Source organism: Homo sapiens, chromosome 3 (genome assembly GCF_000001405.40).
Source record: "Homo sapiens chromosome 3, GRCh38.p14 Primary Assembly".
Classification (NCBI taxonomy): domain Eukaryota; kingdom Metazoa; phylum Chordata; class Mammalia; order Primates; family Hominidae; genus Homo; species Homo sapiens.
The window spans coordinates 101,471,325-101,488,900 of NC_000003.12; the positions used below are offsets into that span (position 1 = coordinate 101,471,325).

The 17,576-nt window shown below is 38.7% G+C and overlaps 1 protein-coding gene across 18 annotated transcripts in view, besides 2 other annotated features; it reads right to left on the minus strand.

Moving 5' to 3' along the window:
* SENP7 (SUMO specific peptidase 7) overlaps positions 1-17,576 on the minus strand; it is a 189,008-nt gene that overhangs the window by 147,120 nt on the left and 24,312 nt on the right. The window lies entirely within an intron of this gene.
* Positions 13,046-14,245: an enhancer, noted in NCBI's record as "MED14-independent group 3 enhancer chr3:101203214-101204413 (GRCh37/hg19 assembly coordinates)". NCBI's record gives its function as "activates an origin of replication core promoter dependent on BRD2, BRD4, P300/CBP and CDK7 cofactors, and independent of MED14, by STARR-seq in HCT116 cells {active_cell/tissue: HCT116}" and the evidence as "EXISTENCE:reporter gene assay evidence [ECO:0000049][PMID:35650434]".
* Positions 13,409-14,031: an enhancer, noted in NCBI's record as "H3K27ac hESC enhancer chr3:101203577-101204199 (GRCh37/hg19 assembly coordinates)". NCBI's record gives its function as "activates a minimal SCP1, AML or CMV promoter by ChIP-STARR-seq in primed H9 embryonic stem cells {active_cell/tissue: H9 hESC(primed)}" and the evidence as "EXISTENCE:reporter gene assay evidence [ECO:0000049][PMID:30033119]".

Sequence of the window (17,576 nt, forward strand, 5' to 3'; positions counted from 1 at the left end):
CAGAGGCCTCAGAAATAACACCACACATTTACAATCATCTGATCTTTGACAAACATGACAAAAACAAGAAATGGGGAAAGGATTCCCTATTTAATAAATGGTGCTGGGAAAACTGGCTAGCCATATGTAGAAAACTGAAACTGGATCCCTTCCTGACACCTTATACAAAAATTAATTCAAGACGGATTAAAGACTTCAATGTTAGACCTAAAACCATAAAAACCCTAGAAGAAAACCTAGGGAATACCATTCAGGATATAGGCATAGGCAAGAACTTCATCACTAAAACACCAAAAGCAATGGCAACAAAAGCCAAAATAGACAAATGCGATCTAATTAAACTAAAGAGCCTCTGCATGGCAAAAGAAACTACCATCAGCGTGAACAGGCAACCTACAGAATGGGAGAAAATTTTTACAATCTACCCATCTGACACAGGGCTAATATCCAGAATCTACAAAGAACTCAAATTTACAAGAAAAAAACAAACAACCCCCTCATCAAAAAGTGGGCAAAGGATATGAACAGACACTTCTCAAAAGAAGACATCTATGCAGCCAACAGACACATGAAAAAACACTCATCATCACTGGTCATCAGAGAAATGCAAATCAAAACCACAATGAGATACCATCTCACGCCAGTTACAATGGCAATCATTAAAAAGTCAGCAAACAACAGATGCTGGAGAGAATGTGGAGAAATAGGAATGCTTTTACACTGTTGGTGGGAATGTAAATTAGTTCAACCATTGTAGAAGACAGTGTGGCGAATCCTCAAGGATCTAGACCTGGAATTACCATTTGACTGAGCAATCCCATTACTGGGTATACACCCAAAGGATTATAAATCATGCTACTATAAAGACACACGCACACATATGTTTATTGCAGCACTATCCACAATAGCAAAGACTTGGAACCAACCCAAATGTCCATCAATGATAGACTGGATTAAGAAAATGTGGCACATATACACCATGGAATACTATGCAGCCTTAAAAAAAATGAGTTCATGTTCTTTGCAGGGACATGGATGAAGCTGGAAACCATCATTCTCAGCAAACTATCACAAGGACAGAAAACCAAACACCGCATGTTCTCACTCGTAGGTGGGAACTGAACAATGAGATCACTTGGACACAGGGCGGGGAACATCACACACTGGGACCTGTCGCGGGGTGGGGAGCTGGGGGAGGGATAGCATTAGGAGAAATACCTAATGTAAATGATGAGTTGATGGGTGCAGCAAACCAACATGGCACATGTATACCTATGTATCAAACCTGCACATTATGCACATGTACCCTAGAGCTTAAAGTATAATAAAAAATAATTTTTTAAAAACCACCAAATCATAAAGGTAAACAATAAAAGAATAGAGAAATAGAGATATAAAAGCAGTCAGAAAATCATTAACAAAATGAGTAAGTCCTTTTTTTAAAACTTTTAATTTCAGAGGTACCTGTGTAGGTTTGTTACATAGGTAAACTTATGTCATGGGGGGTTGTTATACAGAATATTTATGACCCAGATATTAGGCCTAGTACTCATTAGCTATTTTACCTGATGCTCTCCCCTCCTCACACCCTCCACCTTCTGAAAGGCTCTAGCATGTGTTGTCCCCTTCTGTGTCCATGTATTCTCATAACTTAGCTCCCACTTATAAGTGAGAACATGCAGTGTTTGGTTTTCTGTCCTCCATTAGTTTGCTAAGGATAATGGCCTCCAGCTCCATTCAAGTCCCTGCAACAGACATGATCTCATTTTATGGTGTATATGTGCCACATTTTCTTTATCCAGTAAAACATTACTGGGCATTTAGATTGATTCCATGTCTTTGCTATTATAAATACTGCTGCAATAAACATATGTGTGCATGTGTCTTTATAATAGAACAATGTATATTCCTTTGGGTAAATACCCAGTAATGGGACTGCTGGAGTGAATGGTACTTCTGTCTTTACATCTTTGAGGAATGGCCACATTGTCTTCCACAATGGGTGAACTAATTTACACTCCCACCAACACTTTATAACCATTCCTTTTTCTCCACAACCTCACCACCATCTGTTACTTTTGGAGTTTTTAATAGTAGCAATTTTGACTAGTGTGAGATGGTATCTCACTGTGGTTTTGATTTGCATTTCTCTAATGATTAGTGATGTTGAGCTTTCTTTCATATGATTGTTGGCTGCATGTACGTCTTCTTTGGAAAAGCACTTGTTCATGCCCCCCTTGGCCCACTTTATAATGGGGTTGTTTTTTGCTTGTAAATTTGTTTAAGTTAATTATAGATGCAGTATATTCGACTTCTGTCAGATGCATAGTTTGCAAAAATTTTCTCCCATTCTGTACACTGTCTGTTTACTCTGTTGACAGTTTCTTTTGGTGTGCAGAAGCTCTTTAGTTTAGTTAGATCCCATTTGTCAATTTTTGCTTTTGTCCCAATTGCTTTTGGTATCTTTATCATGAAATCTTTGCACGTGCCTATCTCCTGAATGGTACTGCCTAGGCTGTCTTCCAGAGTTTTCAGTTTGAGGTTTTACATTTAAGTCTTTAATCCATCTCGAGCTAATTTTTGTATATGGGCTAAGGAAGGGGTCTAGTTTTAATTTTCTGCATATGGCTAACCAGTTATCCCAGCACCATTTATTGAATAAGGAATCCTTTCCCCATTGCTTGTTTTTGTCAGGTTTGCCAAAGATCAGATAGTTGTAGGTATGCAGTCTTATTTCTGGGCTCTCTATTCTGTTCCATTGGTCAGTGTGCCTGTAGCATAGCTTGAAGTTGGATAGCATGATGCCTCCAGCTTTGTTCTTTTTGCTTAGGATTGCCTTGACCATTCAGGCTCTTTTTTGGTTCCATATGAATTTTAAAATAGTTTTCTCTAGTTCTGTAAAGAATGTCATTGGTAGTTTCATAAGAATAGCATTAAATCTATAAATTGCTTTGGGCAGTATGGCCATTTTAAAAATATTGATTGTTCCTATCCATGAGCATGGAATGTGCTTGTGTCATCTCTGATTTCTTTGAACAGTGTTTTGTAGTTCTCCTTGAAGAGATCTTTCACCTCCCTCCTTAGATGTATTCCTAGGTATTTTATTCTTTTTGTGGCAGTTCTGAATGAGTTCGTTCCTAGTCTGGCTCTCAGTTTGATTGTTGTTGGTATATAGGAGTGCTAGTGATTTTTGGACACTGATTTTGTATGCTGAGACTTTGCTGAAGTTGCTTATCAGTTTAAGAAGCCTTTGGGCTGAGAATATGGGGTTTTCTAGATCTAGGATCATGCTGTCTGCAAATAGGAATAGTTTGACTTCTTCTCTTCCTATTTAGGTCCCTTTATTTCTTTCTCTTACCTGACTGTCCTGGCCAGGACTTCCAATACTATGTTGAATAAGAGTGATGACAGTGGGCATCCTGGTCTTCTGGCAGTTTTTAAGGGGAATACTTCCAGCTTTTGCCCATTCAGTATGATGTTGGCTGTGGGCTTGTCATACATGGTTCTTATTATTTTGAGGTATATGAGAGGAATAAGTCTTCACTACCAATAACAACCTGAATGTAACTGGTTTAAACTCCACAATTAGAAGATTTAGACTGGCTGAATAGATAAAACACAAGACCCAACAGAATGCTGCCTACAAGAAACTCACTTCACCTATAAAGACACACATGAAGTGAAAGTGAAGGGATGTGATGGATACATATATATATCCCATGTAAATGGAAACCAAAAGTATGCAGGAGTAGCCATACTTACATCAGACAAATAGGCATTAAGTTACCAAAAAAACTTAAAAAGAGACAAGACAGTGTGGTGATTCCTCAAAGATCTAGAAGCAGAAATGCCATTTGACCCAGCAATCCCATTACTGGGTATACACCCAAAGGAATATAAATCATTTTATTATAAAGATACATGCACACATATGTTCACTGCAGCATTATTCACAATAACCAAGACACGGAATCATCCCAAATGCCCATCAATGACAGACTGGATTAAAAAAATGTGGTACATGTACATCAGGGAATACTATGCAGCCATAAAAAGGAAAAAGATCATGTCCTTTGCAGGGACATGGATGGAGCTGGAAGCCGTTATCCTCAGCAAACTAATGCAGGAACAGAAAAACAAACACCACATGTCCTCACTCATAAGTGGGAGTTGAACAATGAGAACACACTGGTGGGGAATAATACACACTGGAGCCTGTCAGGGGGACGAAGGGAAAAAGAACATCAGGAAGAACAGCTAATGGATGCTGGTCTTAATACCTAGGTGAAGGGTTGATCTGTGCAGCAAAACACCATGGCACACGTTTACCTATTTAACAAATCTGCACATCCTGCACGTATACCCTGGAACTTAAAATAAAATTGAAGGAAAAAAATATATTGCAAAACTTGAAATAAAAATAAAAAGAAACAAAAAGGTCATCATATATTGATGAAGAGATAAATTCAGCAAGAGAACATAACAATTATAAACATATTTACACCCAATACAGGAGCACTCAGATAAATAAAGCAAATATGAGAACTAAAGAGAGAGATAAATCCCAATACAATGATACTTGGAGAATTAAACATCCCACTTTCAACATGCAGAAGGAAAATAAACCAAAAAAAATTGAACATTTCTGCACTATAGACCAAATGGACCTAAGAGACATCTACAGAACATTTCATCCACCAGCTACAGATTACACACTCTTCTCACGAGCACAAAGAACATTCTCCATATGTTAGGCCACAAAGGTAACATTGCCAGTTTTTTTATTATTATTATTCTTTAAGTTCTGAGATACATGTGTAGAACATGCAGGTTTGTTACATAAGTATACATGTGCCATGGTGGTTTGCTGCACCCATCAACCCGTCATCTACATTAAGTATTTCTCCTAATGCTATCCCTCCCCTTACCCCCAATCCCCCAAAGGCCCCAGTGTGTGATGTTCCCCGCCCTGTGTCCATGTGCTCTCATTGTTCAACTCCCACTTATGAGTGAGAACATGCAGTGTCTGGTTTTCTGTTCCTGTGTTAGTTTGCTGAAAATAATGGTTTCCAGCTTCATCCATGTCCCTGCAAAGGACATGAACTCATTCTTTTTATGGCTGCATAGAATTCTATGGTGTATATGTGCCACATTTTCTTAATCCAGTCTATCATTGATGGGCATTTGGGTTGGTTCCAAGTCTTTGCTATTGTGAATGGTGCCACAATAAACATACATGTGCATGTATCTTTATAGTAGAACCATTTATAATCCTTTGGGTATATATACCCAGTAATGGGATTGCTTGGTCAAATGGTATTTCTGGTTCCAGATCCTTGAGGAATCGCCACACTGTCTTCCACAAGGGTTAAACTAACTTACACTCCCACCAACAGTGTAAAAGCATTCCTATTTCTCTACAACCTCTCCAGTATCTGTTGTTTCCTGAGTTTTTAATGATTGCCATTCTAAATGGCATGAGATGGTATCACATTGTGGTTTTGATTTGCATTTCTCTAATGACCAGTGATGATGAGCTTTTTTTCATGTTTGTTGGCCGCATAAATGTCTTCTTTTGAGAAGTGTCTGTTCATATCCTTCGCCCACTTTTTGATGGGGTTATTTGTTTTTTTCTTGTAAATTTGTTTAAGTTCCTTGTAGATTCTGGATAGTAGTCCTTTGTCAGATGGATAGATTGCATAAATTTTCTCCCATTCTGTAGGTTGCCTATTCACTCTGATGATAGTTTCTTTTGCTGTGCAGAAGCTCTTCAGTTTAATTAGATCCCATTTGTCAATTTTGGCTTTTGTTGCAATAGCTTTTTGTGTTTTAGTCATGAAGTCTTTGCCCATGCCTATGCCCTGAATGGTATTACCTAAAACCTCACCAAATTTTTAAAAATCAAAATAATATGAGTACCTTTGCAGACCACAATGGAAAAAAAAATTAGAAACCAATAACAAGAACTTTGGAAACAATACAAATACATGGAAATTAAACAACATGCTTCTGAATGACCAGAGTCAGGGAAGAAATTAAGAGGGAAATCAAGAAACATCTTGAAACAAGTAAAAATATAAATTCAGCATTTAAAACCTGTAACTGCAAAAGCACTATTAAGAGAGAAATTTATAGCAATAAATACGTATGACAAAAAAGTATAAAGATTTTAAGTAAAAAAAACCTAATAATGCACCTGAAAAAAATAGAAAAGTCAGAACAAGCCAAAACAAAATTAGTAAATGGCCGGACATGGTAGCTCATGCCTGTGATCCCAGCCCTTTGGGAGGCTGATGTGGGTGGATCACTTGAGGTCAGGAGTTTGAGACCAACCTGGTTAACATGGTGACACGCCCTCTCTATTAAAAATACAAAAATTAGCTGAGTGTGGTGGTGGGTGCCTGTAATCCCAGCTACTTGGGAGACTGAGGCAGGAGAATCACTTGAACCTGGGAGGTAGAGGTTGCAGTGAGCCAAGATCACGCCACTGCACTCCAGCCTGGGTGGCAGAGTGAGTCTCCATCTCAAAAAAAAAAAAGTTAGTAGAGAAAAAAAAATAAACATCAGAGCAAAACTAAAGAAAACAGAAAGACTAAAAATATAATACAAAGAATCAATGAAAAAAAGCGTTGTTTTTTTTAAAGATAATCTTGATAAACAACTGGCTAGACTGGCTAACACACACACATACCCTAATAAACAAAATCAGAAATGAAAAAAGAGACATTCCAATTGATACCAGAGAAATACAAAAGATTATCAGAGACTACTATGAACAACTACGAGCTAACAAACTGAAAAACTTAGAAAAAGATAGATAAATTTCTGGACACATACAACCTATCGAGACTGAACCAGAAAGAAACAGAAACCCTAAACAACCCAATAACAAATAACAAGACTGAGTGAGTAGGCCAGCACAGTGGCTTATGCCTGCAATCCCAGCGCTTTGAAAGGCCAAGTTGGGAGGACTGCTTGAGTCCAGGAGTTTAAGAACAGCCTAGGCAATACAGCAAGACCCCACCTCTACCAAAAAAAAATTTTTAATTAGCCAGCCATGGTCGTGCATACCTGTGATACTAGCTGCTCAGGAGGCTGAGGTGAGAGGATCACTTGAGCCCAGGAATTCTAAGCTAGGCTACAAGGAGAATGATCATGCCACTGTACTACAGCCTGGACAACAGAGCAAGACCCTGTCACTAAAGAAAATTTTAAAAGGTTGAATAATAAAAAGGCTCCCAAAAAAGAAAAGCCCACGACCTGATGGCTTCATTGCCAATTTCTACCAAACTTACAAAGAAGAATACCAAATCTTCTGAAACTATTCCAAACAATAGAAGATGATGGAATTCTTCCTAACTCATTCTACGAAGTCATTCCTACCCTTATACCAAAAGAAGACAAGGAAATGCACACAAAAAAGAAAACTTCCAGCCAATATCCCTTATGAAAACAGACACAAAATACCTCAACAAAATATTATTAATAGCATACCGAATCCAAAAGCACTTTAAAAAGATAATACACCATAATCTAAGTGAGATTGTATTCAGAGATGCAAGAATGGTTCAACATATGCAAATCAATAAACATGACACATCACATCAACAGGATGAAAAACAAAAACCATGCAGTCACCTCAACAGATGCAAAAAAAAATTTGATAAAATAATGTCTCACTTTATGATAAAAATGCTCAAGAAACTAGCTATAAAAAGAACATACCTCAGCAGGATAAAGGTCATATATTACAAATCCACAGCTAACATCACACTGAATGAAGAAAAGCTAAAAGACTTCCCTCTAAGAACTGGAACAAAACAGGATGCACATATTCACCATGCTTATTCAACATAGTAATGGAAGTCCTAGCCGGAGCAATCAGGCAAGAGAAAAAATAAAAGACATCCAAATTGAAAAAGAGGAAGTAAAATTATCCCTCTTTGCAGAAGACACGATCTTATATTTAGAAAAACCTAAAAACTTCACCAAAAAAGACTCAGATCTCAGCTGGGTGCAGTGGCTCACGCCTGCTGTTCCAGCACTTTGGGAGGCCAAGGCAGGAATTCAAGACCAGCCTGAGCAACATGGCAAGACACCATCCTCTGCAAAACAATTTTAAACAATAAAAATTAGCCAGGCATGATGGCACGTGCCTGTAGTCCCAGCTACTTGAGAGGCTGAGGCAGGAGGATGGTTTCCTTGTGCCCAGGAAGATGCAGTGAACTTGCAGATGATCATGCCACTATACTCCAGCTTGGGTGACAGAGTGAAACTGTGTCAAAAAAAAAAAAGAAAGACTCAGATCTCATATGCAGATATGATGAACGACACAAAATCAACATCAAAAATGTAGTGATTATGTGCTAGCTAATAGGGAGGCTGAGGTGGGATCACCTGAGCCCAGAAAGTGGAGGATGCAGTGAGCCGAGACCATGCCACTGCACTCCAGCCTGGACAACAGAGTGAGACTCTGTCAAAAAAAAAAAAAAAAGTAGTGATTTTATACACCAACAATGAACTAACTGAAAATGAAATCCAGATAGCAATTCCACTTACAACAGCTACAAAAAAAAAAAAAAAAAAAAAAAAAAAAAACACACACACACACACACAAACAAAAAAAACTAGGAATAAATTTAACCAAAGAAGTAAAAGACCTCCATGAGGAAAACTACAAAACACTAATGGAAAAAACTGAAGAGGATAGGAACAAATGCAAGATATATCATGCTTATGAACTGGAAGAATTCATATTGTTAAAATGACCATACTATGCAGCAATCTACAGATTCAATGCAATCCCTATCAAAAGACCAATGACTATTTCATAGCAATGAAAGATAATAAACCTAAAATTTGTATGGAAACAAGAATCCAAATTGCCAAAACATTCCTGAGAAAACAGAACAAAGCTAGAGGCATCATACTACCTGACTTCAAACTATATTATAAGGCAATGTAACCAAAACAGCATAGTACTGGTATTAAAAACAGACCCACAGAGCAATGGAACAGAATAAAGAACTCATAAATAAATCCACGTATTTAAAGTAAAATGATTTTCAACTCAGGCACCCTAACATACACTGGGTAAGGAACACCCTCTTCAATAAATGGTGCTGAGAAAACAGGATATCCATACGCAGAAAAATAAAACCAGACCCCTATTCCTCACCATATACAAAAATCAACTTAAGATGGATTGACAACTTAAATATAATACCTGAAACTATAAAACTACTAAAAGGAAACACCTCAGGACATCGGTCTAGGCAAAGATTTTATGACTAAGACCTCAAAAGCAAAGCAACAAAAATAGACAATGGCTTCTGTACGGCTAAGGAAACAATCAATAGAATGAAGAGACAGTCTAAAGAATAGGAGAAATATTTGCAAAATACTCATCTGATAAGGGACTAATATCCAGAATACACAAGGAACTCAAAAACTCAACAAAAACAACAAATCCCGTTAAACAGTGGGCAAAGGGCATGAATAGACATTTCTTAAAAGACATACAAATGGCCAACAGGTACATGAAAAAATGCTCAACATCACTAACCACTAGGGAAATGTAAATAAAACCACAATGAGATATCGTCTTATCCCAGTCAGAATAGCTATTATCAGAAAGACAAAAAAAAAAAACAGATGCTGGTGAGGATGCAGGAAAAAAGGAACTCACATACACTGTTGGTGGGAATGTAAATTAGTATAGCTATTATGAAAAACAGTATGGAGATTTCCCCAAAAAAAAAAAAAAACTAAAAATAGAACTAACCCATGATACAGTAATCCCACTACTGGGTATTTATCCAAAGGAAAGGAAAACAATATTTCAATAAGATACATACACTCCCATGTTTACTGCAGCACTACTCACAACAGCAATGATATAGAACCAACCAAACTGCCCATCAATGGACAAACGGATAAAGAAAATATGGTGTATTTACACAATTAAACATAATTTGGCCATAAAAAAGAATAAAATTCTGTCATGTACAGAAACATGGACGCAACTGAAGGTCATTATGTTAAGTGAAGTAAGCCAGAAACAGAAAGAAAAATATTCCATGTATTCACTCATATGTGGGTGCTGAAAAAGTTGATCTCATGAAGGTAGAGGGTAGAATTATAGATACTAGAGGCTGGGAAGGGTGTAGAGGGGAGAGGTCACAATGGAGAGAGGTTGGTTAATGGCTACAAACATACAGCTAGATAGAAGGAGTAAGTTCTAATATTCAGTAGTAGAATACGGTGACTATAGTTAACATCAATGTATTGTATATTTCAAAGTAACTAGAAGTAAGAACTTGAAATGTTCTCAATACATAGAAATAATAAATGCTTGTGATGATGGATATCCTCAACACCCTGATTTGGTCATTACACATTCTTCACATGTAACAAAATATCACATGTATGCCATAAATATATACAAATATTTATAACTTTTTAAAAAGATATGCTGATTGGGAAATAAAACTGTCTTTGTTTGCAGATGACGTAACTGTCGATGTGGAAATTCCAAAAGAATGAACAAAAAAACTGAAACCAATAAGCAATTACAGCGAGGTTGCATGATACAAGATTAATATACAAAAGTCAATCACCTTCCTATATGCCTGCATAAATAACTGGAATTTGAAATTAAAAACACAATATCGTTTACATTAGCACATAAAAAATGAAATACTTGGCCAGGCGCAGTGGCTCATGTCTGTAATCCCAGCACTTTGGGATACCGAGGTGGGCAGATCATGAGGTCAGGAGATCGAGACCATCCTGGCTAACAAGGTGAAACCCTGTCTCTACTAAAAATACAAAAAAAAATTAGCCAGGTGTGGTGGCGGGCACCTGTAGTCCCAACTACTCGGGAGGCTGAGGCAGGAGAATGGCATGAATCCAGGAGACGGAGCTTGCAGTGAGCCGAGATTGCACCACTGCACTCCAGCCTGGGCGACAGAGCGAGACTCTGTCTCAACAAAAAAAAAAAAAAGAAAGAAATACTTTGGTATAACTCTAACAAAATATGTACAAGATCTGTATGAGGAAAGCTACAAAACTGTGATGAAAGAAATCAAAGAACCAAATACACAGAAAAATATTCCATGTTCATGGATAAGAAGAGTCAATATTATTCAGATGTCATGTCTTCACAAGTTGATCAACAGATTCAATGCAATGTCAATCAAAATCCCAGCAAGTTACTTTGTGGATATCAACAAACTGACTAGAAAGTTTATAGAGAAGCAAACGACTAGGCATAAAAAACACAATTTTTAAAGAGAAAAACATAGAGGATTGACACTGCCAAACTTCAAGACTTATTATAAAGCTACACTAATCAAGAGAGTGTGGTATGGGTGAAAGAATATTTTTTTATTTTTTCTTAGACACTATGGTGACCTATCTTTTTATTTTTTTTAATAAATAGATCAAAGAAACAGAACATACAGCCCAAAAATAGACCCAAATAAATACAGTCAACTGATCTTTGGCCAAGAGGCAAAAGCAATAGAATGAAAAAAGTTCCTTTCAATCCATATCAAAACCACAAGGAGATACCATCTCACACCAGTCAGAATGGCTATTACTAAAAAGTCAAAACAACAACAACGAATGCTGGCAAGGCTGTAAAGAAAAGGGAATGCTTATCCACTGTTGGTGGGAATTAGTTCTGCCACTGTGGAAAGCAGTTTGGAAATTTCTCAAAGAACTTAAAATAGACCTACCATTTGAACCAGCAATCCCATTACTGAGTATATGTCCAAAAGAAAATAAATCATTCTGCCAAAAAGACACATGCAGTCAAATGTTTACTGCAGCGCTATTTACAATAGCAAAGACATGGAATCAACCTAGGTGCCCATCAGTGGTGGACTGGATTAAAAAAAAGTGGTACATACACACCATGGAATGCTATGCGGCCATAAAAAAAGAACAAGATCATGTCCTGTGCAGCAACATAGGATCACCTAAGCTAATTAATGCAGGAACAGAAAACAAAATACTACATGTTCTCACTTATGGCCACCCATGCCATCTTTATGTCCATGAGCATCCAGTGTGGGAGCTAAACATTGGGTAATCATGGACATAAAGATGGCAAAAACAGACATTGGGGACTACTAGTGGGGAATAAAGGGGGTGGGAAAAGGGTTGAAAAACTAACTATTGGATACTATGCTTCCTACCTGCGTGACGGTATAATAGTACCCTAAACCTCAGCATCAAGCAGTATACCCATGTAACAAACCTGCATATGTACTAGCTGAGTCTGAAAGTTCAAATTATTAAAAAGAAAACGGTATTTTCAACAAACTGTGCTAGAGCAACTGAATATCCACATGCAAAAGAATGATCTGGACAAAGACCTCACATCCTTCATAAAAATTAACACAAACTGGGCTGGGCATGGTGGCTTGCACCTGTAATCCCAGCAGTTTGGGAGGCCGAGGCTGGCTGATCACTTGAAGTCAGGAGTTTGAGACCAGCCTGGCCAACATGGTGAAACCTCACCTCTACTAAAAATACAAAAATTAGCCAGGTCCAGACATGGTGGCAGGTGCCTGTAATCCCAGCTACTCAGAAGACTGTGGCATGAGATTGCTTGAACCCAGGAGACGGCGGTTGCAGTAAGCTGAAATTACACCACTGCACTCCAGCCTGGGCAACAGAGCAAGACTCTGTCTAAAAAAAAAAATTAACTCAAACTGGATCACAAACCTGAATGCAAAATGCAAAACCATAAAACTCCTAGAAGATAACATAGGAGAAAATCTAGATGACTTTGAGTCTATCAATGGCTTTTTAAACATGACACCAAAGCCACAATCCATGAAAGAATGAATTGATAAGCTGGGCTTCATTAAAATTAAAAATTTCTGCTCTGGAAAGACAATGTCAAGAGAATGAGAAGGCAAGCCAAAGACTGAGAGAAAATATTTGAAAATGACGTATCTGCTACAGGACTGTTATCTAAATATACGAAGAACTCTTACAACTCAACAGTAAGAAAATGAACAGCTTGAAATCATCATGGTGGACAGGAGGCAGGACCAGATTGCAGCTACATGCAGAGCAGCTTGCAGAAGCTCTCATTGTGGATTTTAGCCCCAGATCGACAGCAACAACAAACCAGCAATCCCGAGAGGGCCCACAGACCCTCTAAAGGATGTGGACTGCTCCTGCAGGACCCAGGAGACACTCCAAATACTGTGAGTGCCCCAACTGCGGAAGTGGGAAAGGGAGACCTCCCTCTCCCGAACACGTGCCCCCAATGGAGAAGCTGAAGGTCTGTTTGCGGGAGAAGTTTCCGACCTAACCTGGAGCTGAGCCAATTTAGAGAGCCAGGTGAAATACAGGGGTAGAGGAAGCAGCAAAAAGGCCCTGGGAGCTCGCTGCGTCCCCTAGCAAGCCATTCCTGCCTGGCACCACAGGAATCCATTGGGTGGATGACCAGAGGAGCAGGGGTATAACTCCACAGGGAGAAGGAAATCTCTAGCAGAACTTTCTAACCATTTGAACGGGGTGAGAAGCCCATTCACACCCTCAGACTGGAAACAGACTTGGGACTGTTGAGGGGAGCACAGTGGGACAGAGACCGGCCCTTCATTTTACCTGGTAGCTGGGTGAGGTCTGTGACTGTCAGCTTTCCCCCACTGCCCTGACAACCTGCATGACTCAGCAAAGGCAGCCATAATCCTCCTAGGTACCCAACTCCAATGACCTGGGAATCTCACCCACACCCCCCACAGCAGCCAAAACAAGACCCACCCAAGTAGAATCTGAGCTCAGACACGCCTAGCCCCACCTCCACCTGATGGTCCTTCCCTATCCACCCTGGTAGCATAAGACAAAGGACATATAACCTTGGGAGTTCTAGAGTCTCTCCCACCGCCAGTGCCTCTCTATCCTACCATAGCTGATGCTTTCTGGAAAGGGTCACCTCCTGGCAGGAGGTCAACCAGCACAAAAATAGAACATTAAAACACCAAAGCTAAGAACCCTCATAGAGTCCATTGCACCCCGCCACTACCTCCACTGGAAAAGGCATTGGTATCCACGGCTGAGAGATCCATCGATGACTCACATCACAGGACTCTGTCCAGACAACCCCCAGTATGAGGCCAGAGCTGGGAAGACTCGCTGGGTGGCTAGACCCAGAAGAGAGACAACAATCACTGCAGTTCAGCTCACAGGAAGCCACATCCATAGGAAAAGGGGGAGAGTACTACATCAAGGGAATATGCCATGGGACAAAAGAATCTGAGCAACAGCCTTCAGCCCTAGACCTTCCCTCTGACAGAGCCTACCCAAATGAGAAGGAACCAGAAACAACTCTGATAATATGACAAACCAAGGCTCTTCAACAACCCCCCACCAAAATCACACTAGTTCACCAGCAATGGATCCAAACCCAGAAGAAATCCCTGATTTACCTGAAAAATAATTCAGGAGGATAGTCATAAAGCTAATCAGGGAGGGACCAGAGAAAGGTGAAGTCCAATGCAAGGAAATCCAAAAAATGATACAAGAAGTGAAGGGAGAAATATTCAAGGAAATAGATCGCTTAAAGAAAAAAAACAATAAAAAGTTCAGGAAACTTTGGACACACTTTTAGAAACGTGAAATGCTCTGGAAAGTCTCAGCAATAGAATTAAACAAGTAGGAAGAAAGAAATTCAGAACTCGAAGACAAGGTCTTTGAATTAACCCAATCCAACAAAGACAAAAGAACAAGAAAATATGAACAGAGTCTCCAAGAAGTCTGAGATTATGTTAAACGACCAAACATAAGAATAATCAGTGTTGCTGAGGAAGAAGAGAATTCTAAAAGCTTGGAAAACATATTCTGGAATAACCAAGGAAAACTTCCCTGGCCTTGCTAGAGACCTAGACATCCAAACACAAGAAGTACAAAGAACACCTGGAAATTTCATCACAAAAAGATCTTCACCTAGGCACACGGCAATCAGGTTACCGAAAGACAAGACAAAGGAAAGAATCTTAAGAGCTGTGAGACAGAAGCACCAGCTAACCTATAAGGAAAACCTATCAGATTAACAGTGGATTTATCAGTAGAAACCCTAGAAGCTAGAAGGGAATTGGGGCTATCTTCAGCCTCCTCAAACAAACAATTATCAGACAAGAATTCTGTATCCAACGAAAGTAAGTATCATTTATGAAGGAAAGATACAGTTGTTTTCAGACAAGCAAACGCTGAGAAAATTTGCCACTACCAAGCCACCACTACAAGAACTGAGAAAAGGAGCTCTAAATCTTGAAACAAATTCTGGAAACACATCAAAACAGAACCTCTTCAAAGCATAAATTACACAGAACCTATAAAATAAAAATACAAGTTAAAAAGCAAAAACAAAAAACCCAAGTACACCAGCAACAAAAGTATGATGAATGCAATGGTACCTCACATTTCAATACTAACATTGAATGTAAATGGCCTAAATGCTCCATTTAAAAGATACAGAACTGCAGAATGGATAAGAACTCACCAACCATCTGCTGCCTTCAGAAAACTCACCTAGCACATAAGGAATCACATAAACTTAAGGTAAAGGGGTGGAAAATGGCATTTCATGCAAATGGACACCAAAAGCGAGCAGGAGTAGCTATTCTTATATGAGACAAAACAAATTTTAAAGCAACAGCAGTTAAAAGAGACAAAGATGGGCATTATATAATGGTAAAAGGCTTTGTCCAACAGGAAAATATCACAATCCTAAACATATACACACCTAACACTGGCACTCCCAAATTCATAAAACAATTACTAATAGACCTAAGAAATGAAATAGACAGCAACGTAATATTAGTGGGGGACTTTAATACTCCACTGACAGCACTATACAGGTCATGAAGACAGAAAGTCAAAAAAGACACAATGGATTTAAACCATACCTTAAAACAAATAGACTTACCATTTACATATATATATGTAAAAACATATATTATTTTTTAATAAGGTTATTGGTTTTTCATTTGTTGATTTAAGTTCCTTACAGAATCTGGATATTAGACCTTTGTCAGAGACAATAGTTTGTGAATATTTTCTCCCATTCCTTAGGGATTTTGTTTTGTTTTTTTGCTGTGCAGAAGCTCTTTAATTAAATTAAGTTTCATTTGTCAATTTTGTTTTTGTTGCAATTGCTTTTGGGGAATTAGCCAAAAATTCTTTGCCAAGGCTGATAACAAGAAGGGTATTTCCTAGGTATTTTTCCTAAGATTTTTATAGTTTGAGGTTTTACATTTAAATCTTTAATCCATCTTGAGTTAATTTTTGTATATGGTAAAAGGTAAGGGTCCAGTTTCATTCTGTTGCATATGGCTAGCCAGCTGTCCCAGCAGCATTTATTGAATAGGGAATCCTTTCCCCATTATTTGTTTTTGTCAGCCTTTCAAAGATCAGATGGTTGTAGGTGTGCAGCATTATTTCTGAGTTTTCTGTTCTTTTCCATTGCTCTATGTGTCTGTTTTTATACCTGTACCATGCTGTTTTGGTTACTGTGGGCTTATAATATAATTTGAAGTCAGGTACTGTGATGCCTCCAGCTTTATTCTTTTTGTTTAGGATTGCTTTAGCTATTTGGGCTCTTTTTTGTTCCATATGAATTTTAGAATAGTTTCTTCTAATTCTCTGAAAAATGACATTGATAGTATGATAGGAATAGCATTGAATCTGTAGACTGCTTTGGGCAGTATGGTCATTTTTGTGACACTGATGCTTCCAATCCACGCGCATGGATTGTTTTTCCATTTATTTGTGTCATCTCTGATTTTTTTCTGCAGTGTCTTGTGGTTCTTCTTGTAGACTCTTTCACCTTCTTAGTCAACTGTACTCCTAGGTATTTCATTTTTTTTAAGCCTATTGCAAATGGGATTGTGTTCTTGATTTGACTCTCAGCCTGGACATTATTTGGTGTCTAGAAATGCTACTGATTTTTTCTACATTGATTTTGTATCCTGAAAGGTTGCTAAAGTCCTTTATCAGTTCTAGGAACTCTTCATCAGAGTCTTCAGAGTTTTATAGGTATAGAAACATTTCATCAGTGGAGGGATAATTTATGTGAGATTATGTAAAGAGACTAAATCTATCACTCACTGGCATTCCTGAGAAAGAATGGGAGAGAATACGCAAACTGGAAAATACATTTGAGGATATGGTCCACAAAAATTTCCCTAATCACAATAGAAAGGTTGACATGCAGGCCAGGCGCGGTGGCTCATGCCTGCAATCCCAGCACTTTGGGAGGCCGAGGCAGCTGGATTGCCTGAGCTCAGAAGTTCGAGACCAGCCTGGGCAACACAGTGAAACCTTGTCTCTACTAAAACACAAAAAATTAGCTGGGCATGGCAGCATGTGCCTGTAGTCCCAGCTACTTGGGAGGCTGACGCAGGAGAATTGCTTGAACCTGGGAGGTGGAGGTTGCAGTGAGCCAAGATCGCACCACTGTACTCCAGCCTGGCGACAGAGAGAGCCTTGCCTGCGCCAAGGCACATCGTCATCAAATTCACCAAAGTCAACGCAAAAGAAAAAATCTTAAAGGC